General features: G+C 46.0%; 1 protein-coding gene and 1 pseudogene across 1 annotated transcript in view, besides 2 other annotated features; one reads left to right on the top strand and one right to left on the bottom strand.

The window, feature by feature from the left end:
• Positions 1 to 16,887, bottom strand: part of RAB31 (RAB31, member RAS oncogene family) — a 154,251-nt gene that overhangs the window by 22,199 nt on the left and 115,165 nt on the right. The gene's annotated exons all lie outside the window — the stretch shown is intronic.
• Positions 7,434 to 7,979: an enhancer, noted in NCBI's record as "H3K4me1 hESC enhancer chr18:9832371-9832916 (GRCh37/hg19 assembly coordinates)". NCBI's record gives its function as "activates a minimal SCP1, AML or CMV promoter by ChIP-STARR-seq in naive and primed H9 embryonic stem cells {active_cell/tissue: H9 hESC(naive and primed)}" and the evidence as "EXISTENCE:reporter gene assay evidence [ECO:0000049][PMID:30033119]".
• Positions 7,980 to 8,525: an enhancer, noted in NCBI's record as "H3K27ac-H3K4me1 hESC enhancer chr18:9831825-9832370 (GRCh37/hg19 assembly coordinates)". NCBI's record gives its function as "activates a minimal SCP1, AML or CMV promoter by ChIP-STARR-seq in primed H9 embryonic stem cells {active_cell/tissue: H9 hESC(primed)}" and the evidence as "EXISTENCE:reporter gene assay evidence [ECO:0000049][PMID:30033119]".
• On the top strand, positions 9,726 to 10,023 carry RN7SL862P (RNA, 7SL, cytoplasmic 862, pseudogene; annotated as a pseudogene).

Genomic DNA, 16,887 nt, shown 5'->3' with positions numbered 1-16,887 from the left:
CTGGGCATTGTGCTAGGCGTTGAAACAGGTAAACTGAAACGAGTTCACCCAAGCCAAGGTATAAACATGCAGAGAGTTAGTTTTGACGGTAAAGACTATTTTTAGACTTTCTAGACCAATCTATATGCAGAAATCACTGAGAATTACTACGACTGCAGGAAGTGTGGATGCAGATCCCCCCAGGCCAGCCCTGTCCCCTGGCTGCTCCTTCACAGACATTCCCGGAGCTGATCATAGTCTGCGTGGCCCATCAATGTCAGCATTACTCAGGGTTTCTTCTCTGACTGTCTGAAGCACACCCCCATCCCAAAGCAGCAGCGGTGGCCAGCTCCAGTCAGGCTGAGTGGTGAGGATGGAGGGTGGAATTCAGAACCCAGCTGGAGTCCCTCCTGAGCCGCTGCGGGATGGGGAGGGCGGGAGAAGTGGGAAAGCTGGAGACCGCAGGAACGGCTGCGGGACCACAAAAGAGACCAATCAGGCTCAGGTGATGGGAATGAAAGCACTGAGTCAGGATGAAGGATAGGTGACTGCCTCCCACGGTGGACACTGTCCTGCAGAGCATCTTAGGGACCTGCCGTTCATGCTGTGTGGTTACAGGCTCGGGGGCCACAGACTCCACCCTTTCTCTTCCACGTCTGGACACATCTCCCCCTTGAGCTAGCTAGCTGCTGCTCAGGGCAAATGGACTTCACAAATGCAACTTGTCAAAGCCCGACCAACCACCTCTCACCTACAAATCTGCCACTCTTCTTGCAAACCTCAATGCTCTGTGATAAAGCCTGCTTTACCCTCCTTCCAGCCTCACTGCCAATCCGCTGCCTCTGCTGCAGTCACCCCCTCTTCGCTTCTCACAGGGACACCCGCAATTGCCTTTCCTGGTCCTCTAGCCTCCTGCAATCCATGTGCCCATGGTGGGGACTCTTCAAACTGCGAATCTACCAAGTATTCCTGTGAATAGGATTCTCCAACATCTTCTGATTGCTGGAGAATCAAACCAACGCCTTAGCAGGACGGGGCTTCATGCCTTACTCTTCCCCTGTTTGCCCCCGAAGCCACAGCCATTTTAAATCAGCTGCTGGTGATGGAACTTTGGGTTCTTGCACCCACTTCTCCCTGTTCAGGTGGCAACATCTCACACGGCCTCCTAGAGAGCTCAGTCTGGCAACCCCTCCACCAGGCTAGATGCTCTTCCCCTCTTCCTGTCATACTCCTATCGTCATACCATCTCCTTGTGAAGCTGTCTCTCTGTTCAAACAGGCTGTGGATGTCTTCGGACCAGAACCGTGGCTTTTGTTTTCATGTCCAGGGATCCTCACATTACCTGGCTCTCAGGAGGCAATCAGTAAGCATCTGCTGAATGACTAGATGACAAAAATCACCCCAAGTTGCCTTCAGCAGAAAGGAGGAGTGGGTAGTGGAGGAATCTATGGACTTAGTGGGAAGTGTGGTGAGTGCTGAGAGTCAACTGGAAAAGATCCGGGACAAGAGGCTCACCCAGCCTTCCAAGTGGGCTGGGAGGGAGGCTTTGAGGGTAAAAACATGAAAGGGAGCCTCCTCTGAGTCCCAGGCTCTGATGTTAACCAGCCTGTATTCCAGCGAGGTGAGCCCTGAGCTGGTCCCTGGCACTCAGAGGCTTCTCAGCAGGGGAGGGGATCAGGAAACAACATTCTTGCGGGCTCCAGCATTTCCAACAGGCCTGTGCTACCCAATAGGGGTGCTTGTTTTGTTGTTTGTGGAAGTAACCTGGCAACATGGCAGCTGCCTCGGTCTAATTTCAGAGCTGGTTAAATTCTTTGTGGTCCTCCTTCACTGATGGCTGGGGGAATAGAAGACAGGTACACCAGAAGGAATCCTGAAGCCCTGCCTGTGAGGGAAGGGAATCAAATCCACAGGCTAAGGGTAGAAGAATGCTTTTCCCTACGGAGGTTTACTGGGAAGGTTCCTTTGGAGAGAGATGAGCTCCACCTCCACACCAGTCTGCCTGAGTACACTCAGGCGTCTTGACTATGGGTTTTGGCTCAGAGTCGTTCCCAGGTGGCCCAGATGAGCACCTCACATGAGAGGGTAAATACAGGCAGGCAGCCCAAGTGCACTGCTCACAGAAAGAAAGCGATCGTCTCCACCAGTAAATACCCTTCAGTGCTCACCTCCCTCAGGTCTATGTCGTCCATGCATTCCACCAGGCTGGGTGGACATTTTACAGCAATGTTCAGTGTTTACGTAAGGGAAAAGGAGGTTGATATTATAAAGTGCTCAGAATAATGCCGGGCACACCATAAGTGTTATATCAATGTTTCTTAAATGAATCTTTGCAAAGCCGTCTCAGTGAGGATGACAGCATGGCACTACTTTCTTACAGAATGCCAAAAAGACTGAGGAAATGATGCGAGTAGAAGAAACAAGTAAAGGCCCTTTGTAGTGTTATCCAACTCAACCCCTTCATTTTATGCCCAGGAGAGCTCCCGGTCCAATTATCAACATTCCATAGAAGCATGAGGGGAGCACAGGCCAGATCAGCCAACTTGACAAGTATATTAATGTTCATAAGTCACCCCAAGAGTAGAACTGCATCGTACTTTGAAGTCCTTTCTCAATGAAAAAAATCTGACATTAATTCTGAGAAACTTTTATTCAAGGATGGTGAATAACTTTTTAGAAGCCATGAGTGTTTCTTGTTCCATGACATTCGTGTACATGTTCTCTGCCCAGGGTGGTTTTGGATTATTTGAGGGTTTTTCCCTCTTATTTATTTGTAATTGTTCTTTGCATATTATGGAACCTAGCCCCTTGTAATACATTTTCCGAATTTTTTTCAACCTGCTGTTTGTATTTGATTCCTGTTTATGGCATTTATGCCACTCAGAAGTTTCCATATAGTCAGGCTTATTCATCATTTTCAACCATGGCTTCTGAGTTTTGTATCACGATTAAATAATTCATTCCATTTTTAAGATTATTTTAAAAATTATTTGTCTTCTGTAAGTCTCATGATTTCATTGTTTTACATTTAAATCCTTGTTCCATTTTGAATTTATCTTCTCTTATTTTTCCTTCTCTTATTTATTCCACCACTATTTACTGAATTACCTCTTTTTTGCACAGATTTCAAATATCTTTATATACACTAAATCTCCCTATGTATTTCACACCGTTCCTCAAACTGACACTTCTCATGTTTTCCCCCGTTCCTCACATACTGAATCTCCCCGTGTGTCTCACCCCATTCCTCACACTGACTCTCCCCAGGTGTCTCACCCCATTCCTCACACTGACTCTCTTCATGTGTCTCACCCCGTTCTTCACACACTGAATCTCCCCATGTTTCACCCCATTCCACACACACAGACTCTCCCCTTTGTGTTTCACCCCGTTCCTCACACACTGACTCTTCCCATCTATTTCACCCCATTCCTTATGCTGACTCTCTTCATGTGTTTCACTCGGTTCCTCACATGCTGACTCTCTCCCTGTGTTTCACCCCATGCCTCACACACTGACTCTCCCCGTGTGTTTCCCCCCGTTCCTCACACACTGAATCTCCCCATGTTTCACCCCGTTCCTCACACACTGACTCTACCCATGTGCTTCACCCTGTTCCTCACACTGAGTCTCCCCTTGTGTCTCACCCCATTCCTCACACACTGACTCTCCCCATGTGTTCCACTCCATTCTTCATATACTAAATCTCCCCAGACCTACAGAATCGGAATGTCTACTGGGCAAGCCCCAGAAATCTACACTGTAGCAAGCTTCCCAGCAGTTCTCAAGCCTGCTAAAGATGGAGAATGATTCTTGTAGGGGGGACTATAAAAAGTCAAGTCTGATATTTTTTCACTCTATCCAATTCATAATCTGACACTATGAAGCCAGTAGTTTGGAAATCTGTATCAAGATGACTATAGCTAGGGCACAATAAAATATACACTGCTCAGGCACCATTTTACAGTTAAATAAAAATAAAAATAAAAAGAAGAGTGGACTCATTAGCGCTTCCTAAAACAAATTCTCTGGTGGTTCATACATGTTCTAGCATGCATATTATAGTTCTAAAATACTGTAACAGAAAAAACTAAGTATATTATATTCTGCCAGACTCCTGGAATGTAACATTTAACGTCTCCTTACATGTTTTTTGCATTATATTTTTACTCTCTCCCCGAGCCACAGCCCCCTTCCAAGGTCAAGCATAAAAGACCAATTAAGCCGGCCACGAGCAGCACAGCAGCGGTGAGCGGGAGACGGCTGTTAACTGTGTGGTGGAATTATTTTCTGTCAAAACCATCCCACATGTTTAAGGTATTGCAGCCAAAAGCAAGGGAAATCATTCACAACATCTCATCAAAATCAAGCAGAGGAGGGCTGCAGGGCTGTGTGTGCTCTGACGCGTTCTCACAGCAGGCCCCGTTCCGGCAAGCACCCACTGAAATGAATAATCAGAGTTTGTTATGCTCCCCCTAGCTCATATTTTCTCTAAATACCCAAGATGTCTATGTAACACACAGATGAGGCAACCATTTTAACAATAATTAAAGCAGCAAAATCTCTGTTTAAAATGCTAGTTCTTACAGACACTTGGATTTTTACCTGTGAGAAGGAAAAAAACGAAAATAAACTTCTTTGAAAAAAACAAAGAATAGCTACTCCCTTCACAGCAAATATCTGAGACAATAACACATTGCAATGATCTAAGCACTTACAGCTAAAGCACTTGACAACCGTGTACCAGCAAAGAATTTCTGCTCCCAAGGGGCCTCACCTACTTAATAACACATGTCCTTAACTGCTATTCACCTGGGGCTAAATTCCTGGTGTCAGGTTCAAACGAGCAGTGTCAGGTTCTCGCCACAGATTTAAATGGGTTGTTTCTCATGGAAAACATATCAGAATTTGGAATCCAACAGGGACTGGGCAGAAAACAGGTTCTCTAGGGGACTTGGCCATTCCTTTGCCTCTTAATCCCCTTCTGCTGACAGAAATTCAGCCTAGTCCTGAAGAGGCCAGAGAAAGAACCACTGGAAAGAGTTGTCGGCTCCAAATCCTCTGAGCGGATCATACCAGCTGCCGTTTTCTCTCGGGGCAGTTTGGGAGTTCCTGTTTGTACTGTGGGTCCTGTTTGTACTTCTTAGTGGATGCAAGATACCATGACGGTCAAGAACACAGGCTCTGGGATAGACCACTTAGGTCAGAAGCTGGACCCTACACCGTCTTAGCTACAGGACCTAGGATCGACCCCTTGACCCACCTGTGTCTCGGTTTCCTTGTTGATAAGATACGAAGAGGATATTAACTTCATGGGATGGGAGGATTGACATAAACTACACACATGCACACAGTAGGCACTCAGTTAGGGTTGGCAGTGATAATAATTAACTTGTTTACAACCCACTTCCTAAGTAAACAGGAGACAGATCAACTATAAGTAAAAATTGTGCCATTTGAAAGTAATCACTGAGATAGTTGTAGTTCTTAATATTAATATAAGTTACATTATGAAATGCTGAAACTTCTGGGCAGTATGTGAAGTGAAGGCAAAAGAGATTACTCTGTCTTCGAAGAAAATCCCCAGGAACAGAAGATTAAACCACTCTGTTTAATCACTCAGTAGCTGATGGCTTTTAGCATCCTTCCCCCACCGCCAAAGAAGGTTAGAATAGGGCTTGTGGTTCTGGATTAGAGTTAGAGGCATCAATAAGAACTTATGTTCATTCTTTTTTTGAACTTTGAATATTTCTTTATGACTTCTTTCCTTATGTCTCTGTAAATATTGTCTGAAGTTGGTAGAACCTTCCCCTTCAACCCCAGAAGAAATTTATTGCTAATTGTCACAATAGGACTGACAGCTGAATTAGTGAGGAGATCCACATGCCTATAGGAAAGGTGTTTTTGAGCCTACCACCTGCTGTTCAGGTTTGTCCCTTATTAAAAGGCTGCATACTGGGCTGGGCACAGTGGCTCAAGCCTGTAATCCCAGCACTTTGGGAGGCCGAGGAGGGTGGATCACCTGAGGTCAGGAGTTCAAGACCAGCCTGGCCAACATAGCAAAACCCCATCTCTACTAAAAATACAAAAATTAGCTAGGCGTGGTGGCGGGCGCCTGTAGTCCCAGCTACTAGGGAGGCTGAGGCAAGAGTTTTGCTTGAACTTGGGAGGCGCAGGTTGCAGGGAGCCAAGATTACACCGTTGTACTCTAGCCTGGGCAACAAGAGTGAAACTACATCTCAAAAAAGAAAAAAAAAGGGCTGCATAGTGGAGAACTATTTGTTGGACAAAAGACTATATAATTTGTTCAATGTGTCTACCACTGAATCTCAAGGACTTCCCTTAAATCTCATTAATTGGCTCTATTCCAGACGGTCATATCTCTATCAGTATCCCATCTGTCTCATAAAAAGCATGAAGGGATTGACTTTACCCTACTTATAAGTCAATAAAATCATCTGATACAGTCAATGGATGCTGACAGAAGACCCAAGAATTCTGGGTCAGAGACAAAGAACTTTATGACACTTTTGGCACTGTTTTAAAACCAAGGTTTATTCCAGCCAATTTACTGTACTATTTTCTAATAACAGCTCATAGATCAGATATGGCTTATGTCTTCCTATCCATAACGAACACAATGATGTTGAGGTAAGAGAGGCCCTTTTTCTAAACGAAAATGAAATACTTATCCTGCGTACTTATGGAGGGTCCAGAGATGTGGAAATCGTGTATGTGCCAGAATTAAACAATCTTTATCTGAAAAATAGTACCTTACAATCCTAATGCCATCTATCAAACATCAATATAAGCAACTTCAGCATCAACCAATGAACTAAACTAACAAGAGATCGAGCAAAAGTAACTTAAAGGGAGCACCACTGGCTGATGTTCTGCTGAGGCTCTGGGCGTTCAGGACCTGGTTACAGGGAAAACAGAATCAAACCAGCAGGTACTCTGGACCCAAACCCTCACATTGTGACCTGCCTCCCTTCTGGGGGCCCTGTCGTCCCATGGTCCCCCTGACACTTCCGGGCCCCTGTGGGCTGCGGGCAGAACCCCAGGAGCCAAAGCACCACCCCGGAGAAGCTGGAACTTGGCCTCAAAATCAGCTGGCTTCTGCCTGCTGTGGTCATTTTCTTCCCGGAGCGGCTGGAGCGCTGTCTCAGTGGATACAGCAGCCATCCGGCCTTCCTGGGCCATTTTCTCACGGAAGAAGATCTCCCTCTGAAAATTGGAAGTGTCTTTTTTCGATTCCTGGGCCAGGTCTTGGGTCATCTTCTTGTAGTGGTTGCAAGTCTGACACGGCGGTTCACGTTTTCGTGCACCTTTCGAAGTCTCTGGTCGAGGTCCAGGCAGTAGGCGTTCTCCTCCGTGGACTCCCGTGAGACCCCATCACGGGAGTTCTCGGTGCAGTGTAGGCAGCGGGAACCCTCAGCTGCAGTTTTGGAAGCTCCCTCTCCAGCTGTGCCCTCGTGCCCCGCAGGGAGGCCTGCAGGAAGACTTTGGACTTCCGCTGTGAGTTCTTTACACCTTTGGATTTCTTCCCAGGATTGCAAGTCTGCTTTTCCAATCTCCCCCTCAGGATATTCAAAAGACACACCTAAGTCACCATCATCATTCACTCTTCAGAGGGACTTCTGGCCGGGATGCTGAGGGACTGCCATGTCCTGATTCCCTGTTCCCCACCATTGCCAAGTCCTTGTCCTCCACGTGGTCCCTACTGCCCTCGAGCACATGCTCGGAGGGGTGTGGGCCAGGAAGGTCTGCACTTCACTCCGACATTCGCGGCCCGTTCCACTCCTGCCCCTGCCTGCTCTGGCCTTTCCTTCTTCTCCTCCTTCGCCTGCAAGCGTTGCTTCCGTCTCGTAATTTCTTGGCCAGGCAGCTCTGCAGGTTGCTGACGGTCTGTGCTGTCATTCAGATCGTCCACGGTTTGCCCCTGATGATCTTCGTGCTGTGAACCGTGTGGGGTGTACTTTGCATCGGTCATTCCAGGATGTTCAGGAGGTTGTTTTGTCACACTTGTTTTCAGAAGCTCATCTGGGCCCTGATGGGAAGACCTGCTCATTTCCTTCTGAACCCTTGAGCAGAGGGTTTGGAGCAATCGAGGACTGACCTCTGGCATGGGTGATGTGAGGCCACCACCGGCCTGGGGTGCTGGCTGCATCTTGGCCCTGGCCTTTCCGTGGACCTCACCCTGGGCTGAATCCCTTTGGGCCAGTTCTTCCCTTCTTCTCACTGCATGTCGCCTCCTGACCATAAAGGCCACCACAGCAGTGCACGCCCAGATCGCTCGGCGTATCCACAGAGTCACTGGCACTAGTCCCAGGATTCTGTCCATCACTAGCACTGCCGTCCACAGGGGGCCAGTAACAGCTGAGTAGGCATTTCATGACGGGTGGCAGGCCCTCCGTGGCTACCAAGGGCTCCACAGCTCTGCCTCCACTTGCCAGTGGACTGTGAGCCACAACTGGCCACTCAGAATCCTGCAGAGCGTTCTGTCTCTAACACAAACAAGGGCCCACCACCCAGGGTAGACCAGCATGGGCTGCAGGGAGGGGAGGCACCCCGTGTTCGAGAAAACTGTGTCCCTGATTTTGCTGTGCAAGTAGAAAGTGACATTACTTATGCAATGCCTTGGGGAGTGGAAAGAGTTCACGGCAGTCCCCAGCTCAGGCCACTCCAGGCTCCACCTGGCCCTACAGCATAGCTAGAGGGTCAAAGCAGGGCCATGCCACAGCGCCGTGCCCACACACGATCCTCTCAGGGCAGCGTGGTGGCCCGTCCCTGCTGAGGCTCATTACCCTGATTTCAAGTTCCCTTCTGCTGCAGAGAAGCCTGGTCCTGCCTACAAAGAAGCTGTCTACTGCTAGGCCGAGCTCCTTGAAGAAGGGACTGTGTTTCCTGTGGAGTCCTAATTAGGGAAAAGGAGTCAGGCCGACTATAGGGCCGGAGCCAAAAATATCCAAGATAAATCTGAAACAGCTTCTTGTGCCAGAAAGTAAGAAAGTGCTCAAAAACCAAAATGATAGGCATATGTCAAAGGGACAGGGGAGCCAACAGAAAGAAACCCCAGTGGCCAAAGTTGGAACCGTTTGAGCAACGAAATAGATAACATAGTTCTGCATCATAACCCAAAGTACAACATAAGCCCAGTCTCCACCAGACCATAACATGTCCACACCCACACTTCTATGTGCTCATGAAATCTTTTCTGGGGCCCACAAGTATTGATTAAAGATCCCAGAGCATAAGTCCAGACTGTTTATCAAGACTCACGATAAAGGTATCGTAATTAAGTTAGTGCAGTGTTGATTTAAGGATGGCTAAGTCAGCCGATGGAACAGAAGAGACGGCCCAAGAAACACTGTGCACATGACACGCAACGTATGACAGCTAATACTGCAGGTCAGTAGGAAAACAGTGGACTTCACATCCAATAATGCTGAGACAACTGGGTGTCTACATGGGAAAAATTAAGCAGCATACATATCAAAATCCATTTCAAGTGATTTGAAGACAGATAGGAAAACCAAAACTGTAAAGCTTATGAAAGATAGTTAATATTGGGGGAGTAAGTTAATATTAGGGGAATAACTTCCTGATCTTGGAGGTATGGAAATATTTTTAAAATAAGATTTCTTAAAATTAGGCTCTTCCCCCCAAAATAAACCATAAAGAAAAAAATTGATAAATCATGTTACACAAAAATTAAGGACTTCTGATGATGAAAAAACAACACAGCCTGGCATGGTGGCATGCACCCGCAGTCCTAGCTACTCAGGAGGCTGAGGCAGGAGAATCACTTAGCCCCAGAGTTCTGGGTTGTAGTGCACTATGTCAATCAGGTGTCTGCACTAAGTTGCATGGCAATATAGTGACCTCCAAGGGGTGACGGACAATCAGGTTGCCTAAGGAGGGGTGAACTGGCCCAGGTAGGAAATAGAGAAGGTGGAAACTTCAGTGCTGATCAGTGGTGGGATTAGGCCTGCGAATAGCCACTGCACTCCAGCCTGGGCAACATGGCAAGACCCTGTCTCTTAAAAAATGAAAAAAAGAACTGGGTGCGGTGTTTCATTCCTATAATCCCAGGGCTTTAGGAGGTCAAGGTGGGAGGATCCCTTGAGGCCAGAAGTTTGAGACCAGCCTTGGCAATATAGCAACACCCCCATCTCTACAAACACATAAATTTTTTTAAAAAAATTAGCTGGGTATGGTGGTGCACATCTATAGTCCTAGCTACTTGAGAGGCTGAGGCAGGAGGATTGCTTGAGCCCAGGAGTTCAAGGCTGCAGTGAGCTATGCACTCCAGCTGGGCAACTACGTAAGACCCTATCTCTAAAATAATAATAATAATAATAATATTTTTTAAAAGCAAAAGACAACATAAAGAAAATGAAAATATAAGACCTAAATTCGAAGATGATAGTTTCAACACATAGAGATAACAAAAGAATAGCATCAAGTATATATTTTTTTAAATCCTAAAAATAAACAAGATTACGGTAAACAATCCAATAGAAAAAAATGGCAAAGATTTGAACAGGCACTTCACAGAAGAAGAAACTTAAATGGCCAATAAATATATAAAAAGATGACAACTTTATAGGTAATTAGGAAAATGCACATTGAAATGACTGTCAGATAGCACTATATGCCCTGAAGGATCACAATTCTGAAGCCTGGCAAGGAGGCAGAGCCTCAGGAAGTCTCACACACGATTGGCATATTCCATGCCACCGTGAAAGACGTTGGCATTACCTAGTAAGACTGAGGGTGTGCACCCCCTGAAACTCAGCAATTCAACTCTTACCTACCCCAGTCCAGAGAAATGCTTACACATGTGCAAGAACGTTCAAGCAGCAATGTTCATAGTAACACCACGCCAGAAATAACTCAAATATCCACCAATAGAATGAATAGATAAACTGTGTTCCACTCATAAAACGGAACAGTAGACAGCAATGAATATGTAGAAACCACAGCTAACCCCCATCAGGTGAATCTGACAAACATGCTGAGTGAACGACACGTCATCACGTGACACATACAGTCTCATTCCGCTTACAAAGTTCAAAAACGGGCAAATCTACTGCTTGGAAAATGCAAATGTAGGTGTAAAGCATAACGAAAACAAGTGGTTATCACCAAAGTCAGCAGGGTGGTTACTTCTGGGTGGAGAGAAGAGGATACGATTGGGGAAGGGTTCTCTGTGGCACACTTACACGGCTGTTCATTTTATTACCACAGTATTCCTTACGATATGCTTGTTTTATATATTCTTCTTTAAGAATGTTTTAAATTAAGAAAGATTCCAGATGCCTTTGATGGGCTCTCTGGGCAGCTCAGTCTTCAGCTCCCTCCCTCCTCCTGTGACAGCAGCAGGTAAATGGGAGGGGCCACCCGCACCACATCAGTCGCAGAACACGGACAGGCACATCTCAGAGCACACACATTTTAACAGCACAGACTCTATTCTTCCTCATTATCTCACATAAGGAAAACGCATCGTGCATTTAACACTTGCCATGATTTTTCAGGCCTTTTGATGTTCACTGGCTTTAGTGCTTTTAGTATTTGGAATAAATTGGATTTTTAAGGTCCAGCATTTCAAATTCTGTTATTTGGTTTGTATAATTTCTAAGAAACTCCCCTACTCAACTGTGGCTCACTATCAAGACTGGAATGAGTTTTAGAGTCACATGGAAGAGATGAAAGCAATGTAAATTTATTATTCTTAGTAAAAAGTATTTATCTCCAAATATATTTTTAATCTGTTAAAAACCACAACTTTATCCAAAAATGTAAAACAAGTGAGGAGATGGCTGGTGGTGTTTCTAACTTGACCGTGTACACTATGGAAGCACAGGCTCACCCTGGTTTCCAGCTATAGATTGCACAGGAAATTGCATGAATCACACACTTACTCAAGACACTAGAACGGCTCCCACAGCCTCCTTGGAGGATGGCCAATAGGTTTGATCTCTTTAACTGGTAGTGACTACCCGAGGCATTGCATTAAGGAGGAGCCTGGGGCCACAACAGGCTCAGAAGAAAACAGTGTTCTGACTGCCTGGCAATGGGGAAGCCGAGGCGGGCACCATCCTGGCCAGCACATCGAGCCCACCCACTCTGCATGCTTCTGAGACCCACACCATCCCGCCATCTTTCCCACTATTCCCCAGGGCAGGCGCAGGGTAGATATTCTTGACGGCCCCTCCCTGCCAACACGTGCCAAGCTCGCTCCCACCTCCAGGCCTTCGTTCCAGATCTTGCCCCTTCCTGGAATTTCCTCCTCCAACACATCCGTAACTGCCTGTGGCACATACCTCACCTGGGACGCATGTCGTCCCATGCCTTTCCTAGTCACAACAGATGATTCTGACCTCTCCCCTTCCTGAACCCCTCTGTCCTTTCTGGACTGCATCAGACCAACTGGAACTTCATTAAATACAGTCTTACATTGCTCATCAGATACTTCCCCACCCCCTTTCTTGGCTGCCCAAATAGAAGTAAACATTAATAGCTCAAAGGAAAAGACAGTCTCTTTTCTATTCTCACAGCACTTTGCTGCCACAAAAGGACCGTCAAAACGTATTTGCTAATCAAATGACTGAGAGCTGATAGGACTAATTTCCTTCCTCCTACCCTACCCTATTTTCACTTCTAACACTAGATGCCCTTTGTCTTGGTGTATGACCTCTACTCCAGGAAGGAATTCTGGACTCCCTGGCAGCAGTCCCACCCATCCCTCCCAATGTTTCTGTAAGAGGCACCAGAGTGCTTCCGTAAGATGTTAAGAGACCATGATTCCATCCCTCAGAAGAGGCGAGAGTGCATGAGAACAGCCCCTGAGCATCTCCTGGGTTGTATTCATGGGGAGGGTAGGAGGAATCTTAGGCAGAGGCAGCCAGTGACAGCAGAGCCATCTCAAGGTCATTACCCACCACCTCTGAGAAGAAAGTTCTCCCACTTCCCAACCCAGCCCCCATCGTCACTGTTGTTGGGTAACTTCCCACTGCTACCACTTGTAAGATAAAATAAACTAGGTCTGAGGGGTCTTCTCCCATCGGCACTTCCTGATCCCTCCCTCATCCTTCTGATTCATTCGTGGCCCTAAATACACCAGTGAGAGGTGGAATTTCAAGGAAATGCCAACAGGAGACCCCTGAGCTTGAAAAGCAGTTCCATTAGAAGCCATGAAATGAAGGCCAATGTCCAAAAATGACCAGGAAAGCCTGAAAGAGTTTCAAATTGGGAAGAGTCAAAGGGGATTTGTGTAGAGCCAAGAATTCAAAATCAGGAAAACAAGATCAAGCAGAAGAAATGTAGAACTAGAACCTGCTATGCGGAATGTATGGGGTTGGAGTAATTTCTCCCAAGGAATGACTTATTATGGCAGCTATAGGTCAAGGCTGCCCATGCTTGTCAGAGGAAGTGTGAGGGAGTGATTCTTGCTTAAGGGCCAGGGTGGGATAGGATATGCTCTTCTTCCTCTGACCTTCCCTCCTTCGCGGAGGATCCTGGCCACATGGCCCTAAAGCAAATGGTTCCTGAAATACCTGCAGGTCCTCTCACAGAGGTCCCAAAGCCAGGTACCCTTAACCCCTTACCCAAGCCAAAGGCAACCAAGCACAGGCTGGATATAAGGGAGTCGAACCATCCAGAAGAGGGATCATACATTACTTCAGTTTCACAATAATTTGAGCAGAGGAAGAATTTGTTTAGGGTTGTTCAAAATAGGAAAATCTTTCACCAAGATCAGGAACCTAGAAAAAGATCCAAGCTAAATAGGGTAGCCTCATATTAATTTGAACCCAATCACATCTCTTCTCCTGGTGATTATGAATGTGGGGTGTGAAAGGGGGCAGAGAGGCCCTGGAAATGCTTTGGAAGAGATTAAAGATGAAGGGCCAATGGTGTCACTTTTGTGTTTTGTGTGTGTGTTTTTTTAAATAATTTCAACTTTTTTGTTTGTTTGTTTGTTTGTATTTTGAGACAATGTCTCGCTCTGTCACCCAGGCTGGAATGCAGTGGTGCGATCTCAGCTCACTGCAACCTCTGCCTCCTGGGTTCAAGCAATTCTCATGTGTCAGCCTCCCAAGTAGCTGGGATTACAGGCGTGTGCCACCACACCTGGCTAATTTTTGTATTTTTAGTAGAGGGGGGTTTCATCATGTTGGCCAGGCTGGTCTTGAACTCCCAACCTCAGGTAAGCTGCCCACCTCAGCCTCCCAACATGTTGGGATTACAGGTGTGAGCCACCCTGACCAGCCAATAATTTCAACTTTTATTTTAGATTCAGAGGGGTACGTGTGCAGGTTTGTTACATGGGTATGCGGGGTGACACTGAGGTTTGGGGTACAATTGATTCTGTCACCCACGTACTGAGCACAAGAGGAAGTTTTGCAACTGTCCCCCACTCCTTCCTGCCTCTGAAGCTCCCAGTGTCTGTTTCCATCTTTATGTCCGTGAGTGCCCAATGCTTACTTCCCCTTATAAGTAAGAACATGCAGTATTTGATTTTCTGTTCCTGGATTAATTTGCTTAGGATAATGGGTGACACTTTTGAATCCTGAAAGATGATGAGTCATTGTTTTCATTCTCCAGGAAGCCTGAAGGGCAAGAGAGAAGCCCAGACAGTGCAGCCTGCAGTTAGAGACCTGTACAGATGCCAGGATAGATTCTGGGACTTCCTCATTCTTCTCTACCATAAACTCCTACTGACGAAAGCAATGCTTTTCCGAGAATGACCCTTGGACCACTTGTAAAAGGATCACTTTTTAAAATGCACATACCCTTGCCTGCCTCTTCCTATTGAATCAAAATCTCTGGACCTGGTTCCTAGAACTGGAATTTTTAACAAGTGCACTATGGTTTCTTGAATTCATGAAACTTTTAAAACCACTGAGGCAAGGTTACAACCTATTTCTCTTTTTTTCTTTGCAAGACTCAACTGCCCTGTTTTTCCCACCAGACCCAGGAAAAGGACATGCAGCGTCCTGTAGGGCTCTCCAGACTTTCTGAGACAAAGCTTTCTTTTCTATTTAGACCCTAGGCCAATCTGCTGTCCTAGAATAGCACAGACCTTGAATTAGCCCCATGCCATGTGCTACTTGTTCAGAAACTTGCTGCCAGCCCCAGCTCGCACACAGACTAGGTTCTCCTGCCATCTTGACCAGGCAAGTCAGCTGGTACCCCAGATCCTGTGGATTCAATCCATTTGAGGTTCTTATTTTCTTGCAACTCTGACAATCCCTTAAATGTCCCCAACTGTGCAAGCCTAACTCCAGCATCAGCAGATGGTGGAGAGAACAGAATGGCCTGCCCCACCAGGAACTGCACACTCTCCACCCCTGGGAGCTGTGACCAGAACATTCATGGGGAGGGAGAAGAGCGGCAGGAAGGACGGGGGGTTACACCCCTGAGCACCTACTCTGTGCAAGTCCAGGACAGTCTTCTCACATTCCACTTTGCTTTCATGCCTCAAATTCAGAGGGACCATACATTACTTCAGTTTCACAATAATTTGAGCAGGGGAGATTTTGTTTAGGGTTGTTCAAGATAGGAAAATCTCTCACCAAGATCAGGAACCTAGAAAAAAATCCAAGCTAAAAATCCTGAGTGTACCTGACCGGATGCCTCTGAATGCCTTCCACTCTGGGAGTGGGGCGGACCTTTATACCATCTTCTGGAACATGCAAGAAGATGAAACACACTGAACAGGCATCTCTGCCAAGTACTTCTGCACTCAAATGCCTTAAGTGGGCTGAGCCAAGGTTGGAGGGCGAATTCCATTTCCATCCAGCAAATTCTCAAAATAGGCCAGGCAGAGCTCCTTCCAAGAATTGACAAGCTTACACAACCAAAGTGTGTTGGATGAGATCAGTTCCACCAACACACACACACCTACACACACACATCTACACACACACTCATACACACACATCTACACACACTCATATACACATACATCTACACACACACATACACATCTACACACACACACCTATACACACATCTACACACACATTTATACACACATACATCTACACACACATACACATCTACACACACATACACACACATCTACATACACATCTACACACACACTCATACACACATACATCTACACACACACATACACACACACATACAAACACATCTACATCCACACATATCTACACACACATATCTACATACTGTCCTGCTACAACCCTCAGTTAAAAATCAAATACAGTTTTCTGGGAATTACAGGAGAGCAAAGTACTTTGGGATTAGAGTAAAAGAAGGTCAAGCTCTGAATAAGGTCTGGGGTTTAGAGGTTTGGCTAACTCCCCAGAAAAGTTATATCAGCAGGCAGAATCTGGAGCAGCCAGATTGCTGACCAAGAACCGATTCCCCCACCATAGAAACGTGTCAACAAGCCGGTGCCCACTAGGTTCCCAGGCCCTATCACTTACCGACTATTCCTGTCTCACAGGAGACAGACATTCTGGGCAGAGACCCAGGCAGCAGTCTTCCCCTTCCCTCTTTCCTAAATGGGAATTTTTAATACAGTTACCCTGTTTATCTTTTGTACCTTAGGTGTGCTGGAGATGGTTAATTTAATCATTTGGCCCAGTGTGTTTACAAAATTTTTGTCAAATACATCCCCCTTTGTAATTTTTGCCATGTGTATATAATATATATAATGCATATGTATCACACATACCCTCACCTGACTGTTCCAATATTTATTATTTTTATCTAAATCAACTTTTTGTTAATCAGATTTTTTACTGAGATAACCGTAGATTCGTTTACATGCAGTTGTAAGAAACAGTACCAAGCGATTTCTCATACACTTCGCCCAGTTTCCCTAAATGGTCACATCTTGAAAAACTATGGTATAATATCACAAAG

This window comes from Homo sapiens, chromosome 18 (assembly GCF_000001405.40).
Source record: "Homo sapiens chromosome 18, GRCh38.p14 Primary Assembly".
Lineage (NCBI taxonomy): Eukaryota > Metazoa > Chordata > Mammalia > Primates > Hominidae > Homo > Homo sapiens.
The sequence above is the reverse complement of the archived record's forward strand: the minus strand, read 5'-3'. Positions and strand labels throughout refer to the sequence as shown.